This window comes from Homo sapiens, chromosome 6 (genome assembly GCF_000001405.40).
Source record: "Homo sapiens chromosome 6, GRCh38.p14 Primary Assembly".
NCBI lineage: Eukaryota > Metazoa > Chordata > Mammalia > Primates > Hominidae > Homo > Homo sapiens.
In genome coordinates this window covers 118,519,293-118,535,204 of record NC_000006.12, presented here as the reverse complement: position 1 = coordinate 118,535,204, position 15,912 = coordinate 118,519,293, and the positions used below count along the sequence as shown (strand labels likewise).

The window sequence follows — 15,912 nt, the reverse complement described above, 5'->3', positions numbered from 1 at the left end:
GTGTGTGCTGAATAGTACTGTGTTTTGTGGATGTAGTACCGTTTTTATCCGTTTATCTTACAGACCCATGGGTTGTTTTTAGTTTCGGATGATTATGAGTAAACATTTGCCTATGGTTCTATGTGGACGTGTTTTTAGTTTTATTTGAGTATTTATTTTTATTATTTATTTATTTAGAGAAAACAGTCTGTACTGTCGCCCAGGCTGGAGTGCAGTGGCTCAACTGTAACTGCAGTTGTTCACTGCAACTTCTGCCTCCCAGGTTCAAGCCATTCTTGTGCCTCAGCGTCCCAAGTAGCTGGGATTACAGGTGTGCACCACCACACCTGGCTAATTTTTATATTTTTAGTAGAGGTGGGGTTTCACCGTGTTGGCTAGGCTGGTCTCAAACTCCTGGCCTCAAGGGATCCACTTGCCTAGGCCTCTCAAAATGCTGGGATTACAGGCATGACTGACTGCACCTGGCCTTTATTTGGTATTTATAAATACCAAATTCAATTTCCCATTTAATTACCTTTCCCCTTTGTTAAAAAATCAGTTTACTCTATGCATCATTAGATTTGTGGATCTTTATTCTGTTTCATTGGTCTGTCTATCCTTATGTCAATAATACAACCTCTGCCACCTGGGTTCAAGCGATTCTCCTGCCTCAGCCTCCTGAGTAGCTGGGATTACAGGCATGTGCCACCACGCCCAGCTAATTTCTGTATTTTTAGTAGAGACAGGGTTTTGCCATGTTTGACAGGCTGGTCTCGAACTCCTTACCTCAGATGATCCGCCCACTTCGGCCTCCCAAAGTGCTGGGATTACAGGTGTGAGCCACCGCACCTGGCCAGTTTTTTTAGTGATATTTTATAGTTTTCAGTGTACAGATCTTACACATAATTTATTACATTTTTATTTCTAAGCTTTTAATGTTTTTGATGTAAATGATAATACATTTTTAATTGCCCTTTTGTTGTTAATATATAGAAATATAATTGGTTTTTTAAAAAAAATTGACCCTGAATTGTATAATCTTGTTAAAGTCACTTATTGGTTCTAGTAGGTTTTTAATTGGTCTATTAATGTGGTAAATTGCATTGATTTTTTTGTTTTGTTTTGAGACGGAGTCTCACTCTGTTCTCCAGGCGGGAGTGCAATCGTGTGATCTCAGATCTCAGCTCACTGTAACCTCCGCCTCCTGGGTTCAAGCCATTCTCCTGCCTCAGCCTCCCGAGTAGCTGGGATTATAGGCATGAGCCACCACGCCTGGCTAATTTTTGAATTTTTAGTAGAGACGGGGTTTCACCATGTTGGCCAGGTTGGTCTTGAACTGCTGGCCTCAAGAGATCCACCTGCCTCGGCCTCCAAAAGTGCTAGGATTACAGGTGTGAGCCACTGCGCCCAGCTTGCATTGATTTTTAAATGCTAAACTTAACTTGCATTCCTGGGAAAACCGTATGCCAAACGTATTATCTATGTATAGCTCTATGTCTGGATTGGATTTGGTTTGATTTTGTTAAAGTTTTTTGTATCTATGTTCATGATGGATGTTGGTTTGTCATTTTCTTTTTTCCTACTGTCTTGTCTGGTTTTGTTATCAGAGCATTGTTGAACTCATAAAATGAGTTGGGAAATAATTCATTTTTTTTCCGCCTCTGAGTTCGTGGAGGATTGGTGTTAATTCTTTAAACATTTGGTAGAATCCTACAGTGTAACAATTTGGACCTAGAGATTTTTTTGGGAGCTTTTAAAAAATTATAAATTCAATTACTCTAATAGTTTATAGGACATTCAGATTATTTCATATTGAATGAATTTGGGTAAGTTTGTGTTTTTTAAGAAGTTGGTCTAATTCAAGTTATTGAATTGGTGTGTGTAGAATTGTTCCTAGTAATTACCTTATCTTTTTAATGTCTGATGGTCTGTAGTGATATCTATTTTACTCCCTAATAACTTGCCTCTTCTTTTTTTCTTTCTCAGTCTAGGTAATGGTTTATAAATTTTATTGATTGTCTCAATGAACTAGCTTATCTTTCTGAATAGATTTTTCTGTTTTTTTCTGTTTTAAACTCTATTGATTTTTGTTCTCAGCCTTCTTGTCTTCCATCTGCTTGCTTTGGGCTTATATTCTAGTTTCTAAAGATGGAAGCTTAGGTTGAGAGCTTTTTCCCTTTTTCTAATATAACTGCTTAGTGCTGTAAATTTCCTTCTCAGTACTGCTTTACCTGCTTCCTTAAAATTTTGATATTTTCATTTTCAGTCAGTTAAACCTGTGTATTATTTAGAAGTGTGTTGTTTAATCTCAGTGATCCCCCAAAATGATAGTATTGTATTAATTTGAATTCTGTATTTGCTTTAAGATGTATTATTGTTTTAAATACTGTCAATTTATAACATGCTTCATTATTTTTCAAGCCTAGCCCTATTACCTTTCTCAAAATTTTTCTTCTTCTACTGTTTTATATTTTCTTTAGATTTAGGTAGAAACCATCCAAAAAATCAGTACTTCATTTTAGGAGTAGACTTACTTTTCCCCCAATCCTTTCTATGATGATTCAGATACTCTATCTCAAGAGTTAATTTTGGTAATTGATATTTTCTTAGAAAGTGATCCATTTCATCTAAATCTTTAGATTTATTGTTATGGTATAAAACACAGTACAGTTTTATTTACTTTTTGCTCTCAAACTTTTTTATTCCAACCTTTATTTGGGGTTCAGGGGTACATAACCAGGTTTGTTACATGGTTAAATTGCATGTCACTGGGGTTTAGTGTACAAATGATTTGTCATCCAGGCAGCAAGCATAGCACCTAATAGGTAGTTGTTTTTTTACCCTCACCATCCTTCCACCCGCCCCCCTCATCAAGTAGGCCCTGGTATCTGTTGTTCCTTTCTTTGTATCCATGTGTATTCGATGTTTAGCTCCCACTTTTAAGTGAAAACGTGGTATTTTGTTTTCTGTTCCTATGTTAGTTCTCTTAGGATAATGGCCTACTCCATCCATGTTGCTTCAAAGGACATATTATTCTTTTATGGCTATGTAGTATTACATAGTATATACACTATGTATATACATAGTACCACATTTTCTTTATCCAGTCTACTGTTGATGGGCATTTAGGTTGATTCCATATCTTTGCTATTGTGAATAGTGCTGCGATGAACATGTTGTGCATGTGTCTCCGGTAGAATGATTTATATTCCTTTGGGTATATACCCAATAATGGGATTGCCATGTCAAATGGTAATTCTGCTTTGAGTTTTTGGGAAATCATCAAATTGCTTTTCACAGTAGCTGAACTAATTTATCCTGCCAACACTGTATAAGTGTTCCCTTTTCTCTGCAACCTCGCCAACCTCTGATTTTTTTTTCTTTTTAGTAATAACCATTCTGACTGGTATGAGATGGTATCTCATGGTTTTGATTTGCATTTCTCTAATGATTAGTGATATTGAATGTTTTTTCATATGCTTGCTGGCCGCATGTATGTTGTCTTTTGAGATGTGTCTGTTCATGTCTTTTTCCTTCTTTTTAATGGGGTTGTTTTTTGCTTGTAAATTTGTTTAAGTTCCTTATAGATTGTGGATATTAGACCTTTACTGGATGCATAGTTTGCAAATATCTTCTCCTATTCTGTAGGGTGTTTGTTTATTCTGTTGATAGTTTCTTTTGCTGTGCAGAAGCTCTTTTGTTTAATTAGGTCCCATTTGTCAACTTTTGGTTTTGTTGTGATTGCTTTTGGAGTCTTCATCATGAAATCTTTGCCAAGGCCTGTGTCCACAATGGTATTTCCTAGGTTATTCTCCAGGGTTTTTATAGTTTTAGGTTTCATAATTAAGTCTTTAATTCATCTTGAGTTGATTTTTTGTATATAGTATAAGGAAGGGGTGCAATTTCAGCCTTCTGTGTATGGCTAGCCAGTTATTCCAGCATTGTTTATTGAACAGGGAGTCCTTTCCTTTCTCTTTTGATTGTTTTTGTTGACGTTGATGAAAATCAGGTGGTTGTGGGTGAATGGTATTATTTCTGAGCTCTCTATTTTGTTTCATTGGTCTGTGTGTCTGTTTCTGTACCAGTACCATGCTGCTTTGGTTATTGTAGCTTTGTTGCATAGTCTGAAGTTGGGTAACGTTATACCTCCAACTTTATTCTTTTTGCTTAGAATTGCCTAGGCTATTCAGGCTGTTTTTTGGATCCATATGAATTTTACAAGTTTTTTCTACTTCTGTAAGGAATGTCATTGGTAGTTTGATAGGAATAACATTGAATCTGTAAATTGCTTTTGGCAGTATGAACATTTTAACAATATTGATTTTTCTTATCCAGAGCATGGGTTGTTTTTCCTTTTTTTTTTTTGGAATCATCTCATTTCTTTCAGCAGTGTTTTGTAATTCTTGTTGTAGAGCTCTTTTACTTCCCTAGTTAGTTGTATTCTTAGGTATTTTATTCTTTTTTGTGGCTATTGTCAATGGGACTGTGTTCTTTAATTGGAAGTTGTTGGCATATATGAATGCTACTGATTTTTGTTCATTGATTTTGTATTCTGAGACTTTGCTGAAGTTTATCAGATCAAATAACTTTTGGAGAGAAACTATGGGGTTTTCTAGGTATAGAATCATAAAGTCTGCAAATAGAAATAGTTTGACTTCTCTCTTCCTATTTGTATGCCTTTTATTTCTCTCTCTTGCCTGATTGCTCTGGCTAGGACTTCCAGTAATATGTTGAATAGGAGTGGTGTGAGAGAGCATCCTTGTCTTACTCTGGATTTCAAGGGGAATGCTTCCAGCTTTTGCCCATTCAGTATGATCTTGGCTGTGTTTTTTTTTTTTTTCCATACATGGCTCTTATTATTTTTAAGTATGTTCCTTCAATGCCTAGTTCGTTGCACAAAATATTTTTCTTTTGATTTTTTTCAACCATTTGAAAATATTAATTCCGGTTTTAGTTTGCAGGCTGTGAAAAAAAAGAGTGAACTGGATCCCCACTTTACATGGTGTCTTTCTTAGAGGTGTGCTAAAGTTGGTAATATGATTGTGGGTTTATGTCTCCATTTATTCTTAATAGTTTTTTCTCATATGAGATATGCTATTAAATGTGTAAACATTTGTGATTATTTTATCTTCGTGGTAACTTTTATCTTTTACCTTATAAAGTTTTATAAAACTTTATTTTTATTTAATGATTTTTTTTGGCCTGGATTTTATTACATCCAAGAGTGATACTGTCACTCTGCATCTATTTTTTCATGTTAGCCAGTATTGTGCAAGAACATAGTTTGCAAGCCACAGTAGCTCCTGGTCTATAATAAAACAAAAGAAAACATTAACATTTATATTGTGCTTCATTTTCAATAACTTTTAGTCTGAAGGTTTTAAGGCAATTGCGCTTGGCTTTCCTCCTTTTCCACAATCATATATTAATGTACTAAAGCTAAGACAGTGCCATCTAGAACTTTAAAAGTAGATATTTATGTATACTCAAAGTTGCTATGGCATCATAGTCAGAGGGAAAGGGCTTTTTCTCCTCACTGCTTTTGGGCATAATACTTGAAACTTAATAGATAATTGATACTAGTAAGAATTTTTTTTTTTTTTTTTTTTTTTTTTTTGGAGACAGAGTCTCGCTCTGTCGCCCAGGCTGTAGTGCAGTGGTGCGATCTCGGCTCACTGCAAGGTCCGCCTCCCAGGTTCACGCCATTCTCCTGCCTTAGCCTCCCGAGTAGCTGGGACTACAGATGCCCACCACCATGCACAGCTAATTTTTTTGTATTTTTAGTAGAGATGGGGTTTCACAGTGTTAGCCAGGATGGTCTCGATCTCCTGACCTTGTGATCCACCCACCTTGGCCTCCCAAAGTGCTGGGATTACAGGCACAAGCCACCATGCCTGGCTGATACTAGTAAGATTTTATAAGTTGTTAGCCTATGTGATACATATAAAAACACTCATCAAATGTGTAAGAGAAGATAATTTTGTCTTATAAATAAAGGCAGAAAACCTTTAACATTTGCAGACACATTAAATTGACAGTTTTTGAATAACTTCTCTGTAAGATTGTAATGTGGAAATGTGAGGAAGAATCAATTTGAACACATCTAATTCCCTTATCACTATTCCACCTTTGTTTAGGACTTTCAAAAGATAAATGGTTCCGGGGTAGATACCTGATTTATTTCCACATTTAGTGCAAAATGATTCTGTGTTATTTCTATCAGATTTTCTTTTAGCTCTGTCAAGACTGGAACCTAGACTGTCAATTATAATGAAAATACATTTTCATTAGTTGTTCCTTTTCTGTATGCCTTTAGTAGTGTATCAGTTGTTTATAGAGAATGCAAAATCATAAAGGTATAGTTGCCTTGCTGTTTGAGACTTCACAATATGATTTTTTTATTCTTGAATTTTGCTAGGTACTTCAAATTCCATTCTATAACTTCATTTAATGTAGTATAGATGCTGGCTTCATTATAAAAGCCATTCTCCTTAGAAGGTAAAATGTCTCCGTAACTGTCATGTTTAGAGGTAGGTAGATACACATGGATTTAAAAAATTACTTTTAAGTCAACCTACAGCGTTTGGTAGGATGTCAGGTTTTGTTCTCTCTATTAACTATTTTATGAATCAGGGTTTAAGTTTAGTAAGGAAGACTATCATAAGGAAGACTGCTGCTGGTTTGGTAAATTTTAAATATATTGTATCTTAATTACAGGGAAAGGAATCCTTTTTCTTTATTCCTGTTTTCCCAGTTTCAGAGCTCTCAATTTTTGTTTATTTCTAAAGGGTTTAGATCAAGGGAGTTACAACACAGAATAATACATTCTCATATTTTGTTTTGTGTATATTTATGGAAGTATTTGGCAAGTACTTTAGCAGTCCATCCTGCCAATGGTTCAAAGTGCTATGAAAGCAAATAGTGTTGTCAGTTGCTGTTTCTCTTTATGCCTAGTTGTTCCTTCTGTTTAATCTTTTTCTTGATGCCAAGAAACGTTAAAAAAAAAAAAAGAAAAAGAAAAGAAAAGCCACTTTCTTAAGGTAATTGTCAGCCATGGGAAATTTTTTTTAGCAGATGACTTGTGAAGAGTAAAATAGTGTTAATGTCTTCTTGAGAAGATCATCATCTGTTGCCTAGGTACTTGTCTTACTGAAATAGGCACAAGATGTATAAGGTGAAATATAGCTTCAAATAATATGGTGTGGATGACTGCTGGTGTGTGGTCATTGGAAATAGAGAATCTACCTATTTTAGATCTTTGGAAGAGGAGACCATAAATCCTTAATCTAGCCTAGAAGATTTTTGTTAGGCATGCTAATAATATACAAAATAATATAATATACAAAAACCAATACTTAAAGTACATGTCAACTGTTATTAGGATTTAAATAATGTATAACTCAGTAGGTAAATAAAAATAGATATTTATTTTTAATCTCCCAAGTAAATGAAATATTAGTATTATAAATTATAGCAGATTTAATAATTCACCACATCATTTTAAGCATTTCCAAATCCTACTTTGAGTTTTGGAATTAGTGATAATGCTCTTTTGTTTAGCTTTTACTAGCTTTAATAAATTTCCTGTTTGAGCCACAGTTTGACAAAAGAGATTTTATCAAATGACTTACCCATTAAATTGATAATCAGTAGGTAATGCGGAGTTTCATTAAGTAGAGAGTTTCTGTTAATAATATTGTTTATAGTGTTAAATTTTTTCTCACAGTCTGAGAACAGTTACTTTCAAAACAGTTTTCTAGTCCTTATGATGAAATTTGGAACACCTAATTAGGCCATAGTGCCACAGGGAAAACCCCAAAACTAGGGTTCAGCCTGGGAGGCCACATGGGTTCTTGGCTTTGTGCGGGAAGGAAAACAGCGAGCCGACAGTACAGGGAAAGCACGTTTGTTAAGAAAGTAGAGCCGGACGCGGTGGCTCATGCCTGTAATCCCAGCACTTTGGGAAGCCGAATCGGGCAGATCACCTGAAGTTGGGAGTTTAAGACCAGCCTGACCAACATGGAGAAACCTCCGTCTCTACTAAAAATACAAAATTAGCTGGGCATGGTTCTACAGCCAGCTACTCAGGAGGGCGAGGCAGGAGAATCGCTTGAACCCAGGAGGCAGAGGTTGCGGTGAGCTCTATCGCGCCATCGCACTCCAGCCTGGGCAACAAGAGTGAGACTGCGTCTCAATTAAAAAAAAAAAAAAAAAAAAAAAAAAGAAAAAGTAAAGGAATGAAACAGTGGCTGCGCCACAGGCAGAGCAGCCCTGAGGGTTGCTGGTTGGCTATTTTTATGGCTGTTTCTTGATCATATGCTAAACAAGAGGTGGATTATTCATGAATTTTCCAGGAAAGTGGCAAGGAATTCCCAGAATTCTCCTTCACCTTTCAGACCATATAGGGTGACTTAAGGATTTTGCCATGGCCTTTGTAAACTATGTTATGGCACTGGTGGGAGTTTACTTTAGTATTCTAATGTATTATGATTAGCATATAATGAGAAGTAAAGATGACCAGAGGTCGCTTTCATGGCTGTCTTGGTTTTGGCAAGTTTTGGCCAGCTTTTTTACCCCATCCTATTTTATAAGCCAGGTCTTTGTGACCTGTATCTTGTGAAACCAGTTCTGCTGCAAACCTGTCTCAATAGTAGAAGCAGTGGAATAATGTGGTCCTTAAGATCAGGTGCTCCTTTGTTGGGCTGCCTGGGTTTGAATGTTAGCTCTGCCAATTAAGTATAAATAAGATTGTAGGTAGTGTTTAACTGGGAAGATTTTGCGGGACTGACTTGTACAAGAACTAGCTAATCAGAAAGGATGCCTATTTATGGATGGAGCGGGGTCCTGAAGGTCACTTGTGCTGGGGAGTAACTGTGTTATTTGTTGGATCATGGGGCATTCTGGAGAGTGGCCTGGACAGTGAAAGAGACAGTCCGCACAGTGGTGTAAACAGCAGTTAGTTACCAACCACAGTGAAACTACTTCAGTATTCTAACAGCTAACATTATCTGTACTGATGCATACTGGCTGAATATCAGCCCTTATTGTATATTAGGCAAGGGAGAGAATGAAATTCAGAGGCAGATGTCTAACCTGCCCCTGTAACACTATGTGTCACTTTTGAAATATCTTCCCATCTGACAAAAGTATGTGCCTTCTTTTCAACTGATCTCTATCCTTAGTCTGTTCATCCTATCCTGTCTCCTGCATGAAACATCCCATCCTAATATTACTTGACAGTCATCTCAAAGAGTTAATCTGTGACTGGTTGATGTTATGCAATTACTGGTTTATTTTGAAGGTCTTATTAATAGCATTTTTGGAAAGTAAAGGATAAAAATATCACTACACATTTGAATTCTCTTGAAGTTGCTTTGTGGTGTTTATACATCTTTTGGCTTGCCAAAGAACTGTGTTCCTATTTGATTTACCAGTTATACTAGGTTCCTAGAGATGATATAACAGAGTATCACAAATGAGCTAGCTTAAACACCAGAAATTGTCTCACAGTTCTGGAAGTTGAAAGTTAGAAATCAAGGTGTTGGCAGAGTTGGTTCCTTTGGATGACTGTGAAGCAGAATTTGTCCCATGCCTCTCTCCTAGCTTTTGGTCTTTGGCTTTCCTTGTCTTGTAGATGTGTCATTCCAATCTCTACTTTGATATTCACATGGCATTGTCTCTGTGTCTCTTCACATAGTCTTCCTTGTGTACGTAGGTCCAAAATTTCCCCTTTCTTTAGGGACACCAAACATTGAATTAGGCCTTACCTTAAGGAGCTCATCTTAGCTTGACTCATCTGCAAAGACCCTATTTCCAAATAAGATCACTTTCTGAAGTTACAAGAGGTTAGGACTTCAACTTATCTTTTTAAGGAATACAGTCAAACCTATAACACCAATATTTTTAAATGTTTGCTGCTTTTTCAACGGAAGAAATATAAGGATATCTGCCATGTTAGTTTCTACCGTTGGTTTATTTAAATATCTGAAACCTTTCTTACATTCTAAGCAATTTTTTCTAAGTGATATATTTCATCCAAATTATCTACTTAGTAGATGGTTATATATTTTCCATTTTCTATGGATATACTTACTACTGTTGTAGAAAAAAATTGGGTTCTTGTCACACGACCAGGGAGGATTAGGCATGCAGACACCTTGAAGGGTGATTGGAAAGGAATTTATTGGGTGAAAAGGAAAAAAGAAACAGACAAACAAACAATCATCAAAGCAAGATAGAGCCCTGCTAACAGGTCCTCCACCTCACAGATTGATTTCCAGGTCACCAGGTGAGCTGAAGAGAGCAGGCTCCTCCCCCGCATAAGGCAGGAATTCCCCATGGCTCCACCCATTTCCCCCAGAACGCATGCTGGGCTCCAGTCAGCTATGGGCATGCCCACATGAGCCCTGGGCAGGTTTCCTCATCTGCACAGAAGCATCTGCACACTTGTGGAGTGGGTCAGAGATTCTCCAAGGACCCCTTTTTATCTGCCTAGGCATTTGGTTGTCTCACTACTGAGTGAAAATATTTGTGATTTTGAAATTCTAATGTAACTAAATGATGATGTGATGCATGTCAACTTGAAGTCTGAATACTACAGATACTGCTTTTATTTTCTTGTGGAAAATCTCCTGCTAATGTTTGTCTAGTTAAGCCATGGCACATTCCTACATTGTATTACTCCCTTAATGATTAATCTCATTTCCAGAAAACTTCCACTTCCACTTCCACAAGGTAATGGGAATAAGATCTTATATGGTTTTGTTTGTTTGTTTGTTTGTTTAGACAGAGTCTTGCTCTGTCACCCAGGCTAGAGTGCAGTGGCGTGATCTCGGCTCACTGCAAGCTCCGCCTCCCGGGTTCACGCCATTCTTCTGCCTCAGCCTCCCGAGTAGCTGGGACTACAGGCGCCTGCCACCACGCCTGGCTAATTTTTTGTATTTTTAGTAGAGATGGGGTTTCACCGTATTAGCCAGGATGGTGGTGATCTCCTGACCTCGGCCTCCCAAAGTGCTGGGATTACAGGCGTGAGCCACCGCGCCTGGCCAAGATCTTATATAGTTTTATAATTTGCCAGGATAAACGTTCTGTTGTCATTAATTCTTCATTAGATGTATACATTTCCTTTAGAACTTCCTTGAAATTGTCCAAGTTATGTTGTATTCATAGTGTGATTTCCGAAAGTATTAAAAAATCAAAGAGGGAGTTCTTTTTTTTTAATATAAATCTTTGGGAAAATATGATAATATATAAATATTTTCTTTAAATATTTTAGTATACTAATTGTGTAAACATGTTTCTGCAGGTTTTGACTGGATCATCTCGTCAAAGTTATTCACCTGGCTATCAGGATTTCAGTAAGTGGGAATCAATGTTGAAAATAAAAGAAGGACTTCTAAGGCAGAAAGAAATTGTAATCGATCGGTGAGTCTATTTTAAATTATTAAATATTTCAGGCCTACAGAAATTTAGATTAATGAAACAATTAACTTTATGTCCACTACATAGAATTTAAGATCTAGAACCTTACAGATTCATTGATGTCACATCTCTGCCCCTCCTCAATCCCAATCCTTTAAAGAAGTACTGTTAGAACTGATGGTTTATCTGTCTGATTTCTGTCATCCCTCCTATTCATTTTAGTGAATTATTTCATTATTTGGAAGCTCCATTCTGTCTTTTCTGTACGTGTAGCGGGTTAGCTGCAATGCTAATCAGCTATTAGAGCTACAAGATAATGTCTTCGTGTTTTAACCCTTGAGAACTATCCAGTTGGAAAGCTAATTTAAAGCAGTCATTTCCTTTAATGTATGCTAGGTCTGAAGCCACAGAAACTACAAAAATGACGAATGTGTAAAATGAAATGACTTATAGTTAAGAATTATGGCAGTTTTGGGGGACGTTCTAAAATGTTTAAGGGTTTGAGTACCTAAGCTCTGAAAAAAAATTATTTATACTTAATAGACAGTCTCCTGAGTATTGTGAGCAGTAAACCTTCATGTTACATCATTATATTTTCTTTAACGTATATTCTACATCATTTATGTATGCTTTTGGGATAATTAAATATGTTGTATATCATGATAATTGGGAAGCAATTCCAGGAGGCTTTTTTTCTTAACCAGTGCTCGTAATTACTTATTTTCATATGCTTGCATAGGATAACGCAGTAGGTGTTTTAGCCTTAAAATTCTAATTTCAACCTTTAAACGCATTTAATAGTTGAAATTTCACAAGATTTTGCTTAGAAATTTAGCATTGTTAATGAAGATCTACTGGAATATAAACTAGACCACAGATATCTGCATTTTCTTGTTCTCCACTATATTCCCCCAATTTTTTTTTTTTTTTGGGAGTCTCAGTCTGTCGCCCAGGCTGGAGTGCAGTGGTGCCATCTCAGCTCACTGTAACCTTCACCTCCCAGGCTCAAGTGATTCTTGTGCGTCAGCCTCCTGAGTAGCTGGGATTACAGCTGTGCACCACCATACCTGGCTAAAGTTTGTATTTTTTAGTAGGGACAGGGTTTTGCCGTGTTGGCCAGTATTGTCTTGAACTCCTGGCCTCAAGTGATCCACCTGCCTCGGTCTCTCAAAGTGCTAGGATTACAAACATGAGTCACCATGCCCAGCCTATTCCCAACATTTTGAAAAGAGCCTGGTATTAGTATATGCCTTAAAACTTGATACTTCCATACTTGATAAATGAAGGATTGTGGAAGATAGTTTTAATTGATTTTAGGAAAAAGCTACTTAAAAATATTAGTTGTTTCTGGTACAAGTGAATGTTATATACGAATAAGTACAGGCCCAGTTGGATGTGTATTTTTAATACCTATAATTTAATATAGGTGCAATTTTATATAATTGAAATTAATATTCGCTCTTGTTGCCCAGGCTGGAGTGCAATGGCATGATCTCGGCTCACCACAACCTCCACCTTCTGGGTTCAAGTGATTCTCCTGCCTCAGCCTCCCAAGTAGCTGGGATTACAGCCATGCGCCGTCACGCCCGGCTAATTTTGTATTTTTAGTAGAGACGGGGTTTCTCTATGTTGGTCAGGCTGGTCTCGAACTCCCGACCTCAGGTGATCCACCAGTCTCTGCCTCCCCAAGTGCTGGGATTACAGGTGTGAGCCACCATGCCCGGCCTGAAATTAATACTTTTAAAAAATGGACTAAAGTTCAGTTTTACTTACATGGATTTGCCCTCCCTCAAACAATGGAAATCAGTTGATGTTATTTTTTTTTGAATACCATTCCATTGGATATAAGTTAATAGAAAATGCAGAAAATTATTGACATAATATAATAAAATATATATTTCTCAATTTTATATATTGTAGAATCAGACTAAGGAATAATTCAAAATAACTCAAGTTGCTCATTTGGCTAATTCTTTAGCTAGGCTTATTTATGCGTCTGTGGTAGCAGGTGGGGGCTGGGTGGCATAGGATGGGCCACGGCAGGATGGCTTGTCTTACTCCACATGTTCTGTCATCCTGCAGGAGGCTAGCCTGGGTTTGTTCGAGTGGTGGCTGGGTGGGATTCTAAGAAAGAATGAAGCATACGAAGTCTCTTGAAGCTTAGACTCAGAACTGGCTCAACATCACTTCCATTATATTCTGTTAGTCACTAGACCAGTAGTGGACTTCACTTCTGGCCAGTGGAAACAGCAAAATCACGTTGACAGGAGGCATTAGTAATATAGGAAGGGTAATAATGGAGGCATTTTAGTAAATAACCTACCCAGTATCTTAAATAATCTTTGGTTTCTTTATGAGTTTATTATAAAGTTTTTGATAATCAGTGCATTTGATATTGTATAAAACAGAAGAGAAACTAAGCAGCTTTTGTTTCTAAAGCAGCATAACTGTCATTTAAAAGTAAAAATGTTTGTATATACAAATTTCTATAACATATATAGTACTTAAATTGGAATCAAATATATAACATTTCTGTTTTTGAAGAAGCAGATGAGAGTAATGGCCTTTAAAATGTTGATGGCACATGTAGAGGCTATTTCAGAGCCAGACTTCATGGGATTTGGTGTCCAATTGGATGGAATTGAAAGTAAACCTGCCGAACTTTTTAGTTTGGGATATGGTGTGGTCAGCGATACCTTTCAAATCACTTAAGTAAAAATTATATGTTGTATATTACTTCTGAAAATATATTATCCAAAATTACATGAGAAAAAATGTGTTTTTTTTCACACTGCGTATAACTTTCATAGGAGGAGACTGGATTATTAGGTTAAAGCAGAGAAAATGGGAAAAATAACTGCTATAGAAACTGTTCCTAAATGCTCCCCATCTCATGAGAAAAAGTGTATAGATTAACTTCAGGAACAATTCAGAAAAACATTTGCCACTATAACCATTTAGGTGATTGAGTAGTGCTTGACCTTTTGCATTTCGATCTCCTTAACTGACTGGGTGAAGGAGTCTCACCACTTAAGCAAAAATGAAGTTTTTTGAAAGTTTAGCTCGTAAAAGTGGAGTTTGGGATAGTGGTTACTGGAGGCGGGAAGGCTGGGGGAAGTAGCGAATACAGAGAGGTTGGTTAAGGAATAGAAAGTTGCAGCTAGATAGAAGTTCTAGTGTTCTGTTGCACTATAGGGTAACTATAATAAACAATAATTATATTTTTTTCAAATAGCTAGAAGAGAGTAATTTGAATGTTAACAGCACAAAGAAATGATAAAGGTTGAGATGATGGATATGCTAATTGCTCTAATTTAATCACTATACATTATATACATGTATCTAAATATCACATTATACCCCACAAATATGACAATTATGTCGATTAAAAAATGCATATTTTCAAAACGTTCTTAAATATATAGAAATAAAATTGGTTTTGTATCCTGCAATCTAATCTCACTTATTAGTTTAAGTAGGTATTTTTTTGTAGATTCAATAGGATTGTTTACATAAACGATCATGTTGTCTGTGATTAAAGGTGGATTTACTTTTTCAGTATAGAGTCTTTTTATTTCCTTTTCTTGCCTTCTACTGAAGTAAATAGAGCCTCCAATACAGTGATGAATAGAAGCAGTGAGAGTAAACATCCTTTTCCTTCTCTTGTCCCTAGTTTGTTTTAGGTGAAAGTCTTCAGCCTTTCACCATTAAGTGTGATGTTAGCTGTTTTTCGTAGTTGCCTTTTTTAGATTGTGGAAACTACTTCTATTCTAGGTAGCTGATGAATTTTCAGATGTAAAACCTACCATGTTATTCCTGGGATATACCCGCTTGGTTATGATGTATTTTCCTTTTTATCTATCTTTGGATTCCATTTGTTAAGAATTTTTACATTTATATTTATAAGAGATATTGGTCTGTATTTTTCTTTTCTTGTAATGTATTTATCTGGTTTAGATATTGGTCATGCTGGCCTCATAGAGTTGGGAATTATTCACTGGTTTTTGGGGTACCTTGTGTACAACTAGTATTTTTTATTTCCTAAACTTTCAGCAGAATTCTTCAGTGAAGACTCCTGACCCTCCTGATCTTTCTGTATTGAAAGGTCAACGAAAAACCCAATTTCTGTAATATACATAGGGCTATTTATTACTTTGGGTTTCATTTGTTCTTCTTTTTCTAACTTGTTTTTTTGAGACGGAGTTTCACACCCCCCCCCCGCCACACACACACACACACACACACACACACACACACACACACACGTACACGGAGTTTCACAACCCCCCCGCCACACACACGCACACGGAGTTTCACAACCCCCCCCCGCCACACACACACACACACACACACACACACACACACACACACAGAGTTTTGCTCTGTCACCCAGACTGGAGTGCGGTGGCGCGATCTTGGCTCACTGCAACCTCCGCCTCCCGGGTTCATGCAGTTCTTCTGCCTCAGCTTCCCCAGTAGCCCGCGACCACACCCAGCTAATTTCTGTATTTT

At 36.8% G+C, this 15,912-nt stretch overlaps 1 protein-coding gene across 14 annotated transcripts in view; it reads left to right on the top strand.

Moving 5' to 3' along the window:
- Positions 1 to 15,912, top strand: part of CEP85L (centrosomal protein 85L) — a 249,318-nt gene that overhangs the window by 174,885 nt on the left and 58,521 nt on the right. For all 14 annotated transcript variants that reach the window (XM_011535811.2, NM_001178035.2, XM_011535810.3 and 11 more), the window contains one exon: positions 11,285 to 11,403. In XM_011535811.2, coding sequence (XP_011534113.1) covers positions 11,285 to 11,403 — 119 coding nt within the window. The remainder of the gene's footprint in view (positions 1 to 11,284; positions 11,404 to 15,912) is intronic.